We start from the raw sequence: 5,033 nt of genomic DNA, 5'->3' as shown, positions 1-5,033 counted from the left end.
GCCAAGCACAGAAAGGCAAATATAACATGTTCACATTCATGTGGGAGCTAAAAAAGTGACTGTCAAGAACACAGAGAGTAGATTTGTAGTTACCAGAGGCTGGGAAGTGGAAGAGGGGAGGAGGAGATGAAGGGGGGAAATATATATATATATAATATGTATTTATTACCACCAAATTATACACTTAAAAATGGTATAGATGATAAATTACATATGTATATTTTACATCAATAAAAATAAAAATTTTTGATATGTAGTGTGCTTATAATTGTTTAAAATATATTTTCTACTTTTAGCTTGTATTTACCCCTTCACCTAAGAGTTGTTTAAGAAAAGGTTTTTTTCTAGAAGAAGATATACAGGTTGAAGAGTGTATCAGGGTTTTCTAGAGGGAGAGAACTAATAAGTTAGATGTGTATATAAAGCGGAGTTTATTAAGGTGTATTGACTCACATGATCACAAGGTGAGGTCCCACAATAGGCCATCTGCAAGCTGCGGAGCAAGGAAGCCAGTCCGAATTACAAAGGTGAAGAACTTGGAGTCCAATGTTCAAGGGCAGGAAGGACCCAGCACGGGAGAAAGATGTAGGCTGGGAGACTATGCCAGTCTAGTCTTTTCATGTTCTGCCTGCTTTTATTCTGGCTACACTGTCAGCTGATTAATTAGATGGTGCCCACTAAGATTGAGGGTGGGTCTGTCTCTCCTTTGTCTCTCAAATGTTAATCTCCTTTGGTAGCACCCTCACAGACACACCTAGGGAGCTTTGCATCCTTCAATCCAATCAATATTACAATCCACTCAATATTTACCATCACAAGTCGACCCCTTGTCAACTTGAACCCATATACATTTCCTGAAATCATAGTCTTCAAATAAAGACAATAATATCATAATTATGCCTAACATAATAAAACTATCCTTCGTACAACCAGGAATGCACAAATCCCCAACCCAAATGCTATTATGTAAGGTTAACAACACTTAAATGCTGATAGCAAGTCAATGAATCTTATGTCACATTTAAAGGAAAAAGGAAATAAAATGAAGATATTTTCTTGTACAAATATATACATGCACAAACATGTTCTTAACAAAAGAAGGAGGAAATACTCATTACAATTACAGTCCTTGTTTGTGCAACTGGTCACGTGCTGGTATTGATGACTACCTTCTTCTACTACCCATTCTGTATTCCCTTTGCCTTCAGCAAGCACCTCAGCAGGTCTTGTTTTTTTCCTGGTGGAGTGACACAAACCTTCATTCCTGGAGGGTCTGGGCTATTTGTAGCCCTGACTGGATTGGGCTGTTGTAGTTTCCCATTGACCTTAATCAGAGGGCATGGTAATACTAAGAGACACCCTAAGGGATCTCCTGTATTCCAGATATCCCTTACCTCCATTGTGGAGTAGTAGACTGATTTCATTTAATCCAATCAAGTTGACAGTATTAACCATCGCAAGGAGCCTTTTTTAAAAAGTGCTTAAATAATTTCTAGTTTTATTTTAATTTTGGTTAGAAAATATTTCTTATAGCATTACTATTTTATAGAACATACTGATATTTTCCTTATCACCTAATATATGATCAGTTTTTGTGATGCTCCACATGCATTTGAGAGAAAAGTTTATTTTTAGGGTGTAAAGTTTGACATATATTCATAAAATCTACCTTATTAGTTATATTGTAGGTGTTTTTAAATTTTCATTTTACATGTTTATTGATCTGCCTTGTTCTAAGTAGTATGTTAAAATCTCCTATTATTAGTGTTCTTTTTGGGACTTCTGGCATCTCTTATAGTTTTTGTTTTACAAAAAGGTACTATATTATTTGGTACATAGATATTTATATTTAATATGTCTTTATTGTGATTTTGGCTTTAGCGTTAAAACGTGTCCTTCTTTGTTACATTTAATGCTTTTTGGCTTGCATTTGATTTTATATGATTTTCTTTCAGTTGGTAGGTTAAGTGCCTGCACAATTATTGAAAAGACTGATGTTTTGATTTTAATTTTGTCATATTATAAATATTATGCACGCTATATTATATTTGCTTGGCTTCTTTCTCTAGTAACCTTTTTTACTATTCGATTTTTGAAGTTTTTTTTTCTAGGAAGGTTTTATTTTGGTCTAGATGATGTGTTTATACTTATTTCTTTACTAACGTCCTTATTCCCCATTTAAACATTATGACCTTTTAACATCTGGTTATTCGGCTGTTATTGATATTCTTTAGTTCCTGCCTCATGCCTATAAAACAGCCTTTTTGTCTTATTGTTTTTGTGGCATTATTTCTACTTTGAGAAAACAGCACATAATATATAGCATATAGCACATGATGTATTTTCCCGTGTGTCTTATACCTACAAATAAATATATATATGTATACTATTAGTTTTTTTGCTTAACTTTCCCAGTTAATAACAAGTTGGGTTAAGGTCATCTTCTAGTAGATTCCTTAAGAACTCATGGATCCAGAATTCCTTGAATTCTTGCATGTTAAAAACTTTTTTTATAGCTTGGATACTCGAAGGCAGCTTGGCTATATACAAATCCTTGGATTTCCCTTTATTTCCTGGAGCCTTATGGAAATGCTGCCCCATTGGTATCTTGCTTTGAATCTTTTTAAAAATTGTAAATTGATAATTTATAATTGTATAAATTTATGGAGTATAAAGTGATGTATGATCCATGAATACAATGTGGAATAATTAAATCAAGTTAGTTAACAACATATTCAATACCTCAAATACCTTTTTTTGTGGTGAGAACATTTGAATGTTACTCTCTTAGCAATTTTAAGATGTGCAGTACTCTATTATTGACTATAATCATCATGCTGTGCAATAGAACTAAAAAAAGCATATTTCTCCTGAGATTTTATACCCTTTGGTTATCATTTCCCCATTCCTTACTGCCTGAACTGCTTTAACCACCATCCTACTCTCTGCTTCTATGAGTTAGGTTATTGTAGATTTCACATATAAGTGAGAACGTGATATTTGTCTTTGTTTGCCTTATTTATTTCACTTAGCATAATGTTCTCCATTTTCACACATGCTGCTACAAATGACAGAATCCTTCTTTTTAAGGGCTGAATAGAATTTCACTGTGTATATTTACCACATTTTGTTTATCCATTCATCCATTGATGGGCACTTAGGTTGATTCCATAACTTAGCGATGGTGAATAGTGCTGCAATAAACATGGAATGCAGACATTTCTTCAACAAACTGATTTCAAATCTTTTAGGTAAACACCCAGAAGTGGGATTGCTGGGTCATATGCTAATTCTATTTTTAGTTTTTTGAGGAACTTCCATACAGTTTTTCATAATCGATATACTAATATATATTCGCACCAACAGTATACAAGGATTCCCTTTTCTCCACATCCTTGTCAATATTTGTTAACTTTTGTCTTTTTGATAATAGCCATTCTGATAAGTGTAAGATGATATCTCATTGTGGTCTTTAATTTGCATTTCTCTAATGATTAGCGATGTTGAACATTTTTTCATATGTCTGCTGGACATTTGTATGTCTTCTTTTGAGAAATTTTTATTCAGATATCTTGACCATTTTTAAATTGGATTTTTGGTTTTCTTGCTATTGAGTCATTTGAGCTTTATGTACATTTTGTATACTAACCTCTTGTTGGATATGAATCTTATTTTTGATAAATCTATTGCCAGTCTAATTCTTTTACTTGTGTATGTTGTTTGAATTCATTTGCCTGGATTCCCTGAGGATTTTTCCTTTATCTTGAATGTCTACTACTTTTACTAAAATATGTCTCTGAGTTGATTGTTACAAGTTTTTTTTTTCCCCCCACCCCGTGGCTAGTGGGCCCTTTCAGTATATAAGTTGTGGTTGTTTGTGTTTGAATACTTTCTTGGTTAGAATTTCATTATTAGTCATATTTTATTTTAAAAAGTCTTCTTCAGAAATTCCATTTATATATAAATTGTATCTTCTTTTTCCTGTCTTCCATTTCAGCCACTTTCTCTTTGACCCTTTTTACTTTTTTCTCTATTTCATTTTATTCATTTAGTTGATTTTCTACTATTTTTCCAGTGTCTCTTATTGCATTTTCTTTCAAATCTGTTTTTCCTTGGGCATCTTGTAATTTACGTTCCATTTCTGATGTGATTTTGTATTTTTCTTCTCTTTTCTTTCTGTGTTCAATCAATTGGTGTTTTATTTTTTCCTTTTAAAATTTTCTGGTCATTCATTTCTCTACTTAGTTTTTAATTCTTATTTCAAGGTTGTTTTTTAAATCTACCTAATTGCAGAATTTATGGATATTTATTAGTTTTGAGTGTTATGGTTTTCTTCTGTTTTGCCACTGTTCTTGCCAGTGTCTTGCCATTTGTTTGTGTGAGAGGGTGGAATTTTTTATCACCTTAATTGTTTGGGTCCTTATTTTCAATTTTCTTTTTATGCTAGGTTTTTGTTTATCTGTATGTTGGGATGGCTTAACATTTCTAGTTCAAGAGCACCCTCTCCTGTTATTGTAAGCAAAGTATTGTTTCTTTACTGGATGGCATGGTTTTCAAATGGCATATGCCTTCCAATTTTTAAATTTTCTTTTGTTTTATGTAATTCGAAATGTTCTCCCCTTTTTCTCTCTCTAATGTATAGTTTCCAAAGAAACCTCTCCTGTTGTTTTAGCTGTCTTTTCTCTCCAAAGTGACGCCTTTGCAAGGTGGCTTGTCATGTCCCATGTGCGTTTTCAAGTCTCCTTTCTGTTATCAGTGTTCTGAGCTAACTGTTCACTTTTCAGTATATATAGGGCCAAGGGCTGAGTTTCTTTCTGTTTCTAGCAGTGGTTTTAAATCATGGTTCAACCTGCCCTTAACTCCTCTCTGCTCTCGTTTGTGTAGTTTCTCCTGAACTGCTCTTGGTCTCCATGAAGGCTACTGGCAGGAGCACATGAGAGAGGTAGGTAGGTCTTGATGTTTATATTTATATTTACAAGTACTTTGAAGTTTGGAGTTTCCTTGTTTTCTAGTTATGTTGAGATAGGGTGTGT

General features: G+C 33.4%; 1 protein-coding gene across 26 annotated transcripts in view; it reads left to right on the top strand.

Moving 5' to 3' along the window:
- IMMP2L (inner mitochondrial membrane peptidase subunit 2) overlaps positions 1-5,033 on the top strand; it is an 899,849-nt gene that overhangs the window by 228,157 nt on the left and 666,659 nt on the right. Inside the window, exon 5 of one of the 26 annotated variants that reach the window (XR_007060162.1) lies at positions 4,885-4,942. The exons of the other annotated variants lie outside the window; for them this stretch is intronic. The gene's annotated coding sequence lies outside the window, so the exon portion shown is untranslated. The remainder of the gene's footprint in view (positions 1-4,884; positions 4,943-5,033) is intronic. 26 annotated transcript variants of the gene reach the window in all.

The sequence above is a fragment of the Homo sapiens genome, chromosome 7 (genome assembly GCF_000001405.40).
Source record: "Homo sapiens chromosome 7, GRCh38.p14 Primary Assembly".
Taxonomy (NCBI): Eukaryota; Metazoa; Chordata; class Mammalia; order Primates; family Hominidae; genus Homo; species Homo sapiens.
The sequence above is the reverse complement of the archived record's forward strand: the minus strand, read 5'-3'. Positions and strand labels throughout refer to the sequence as shown.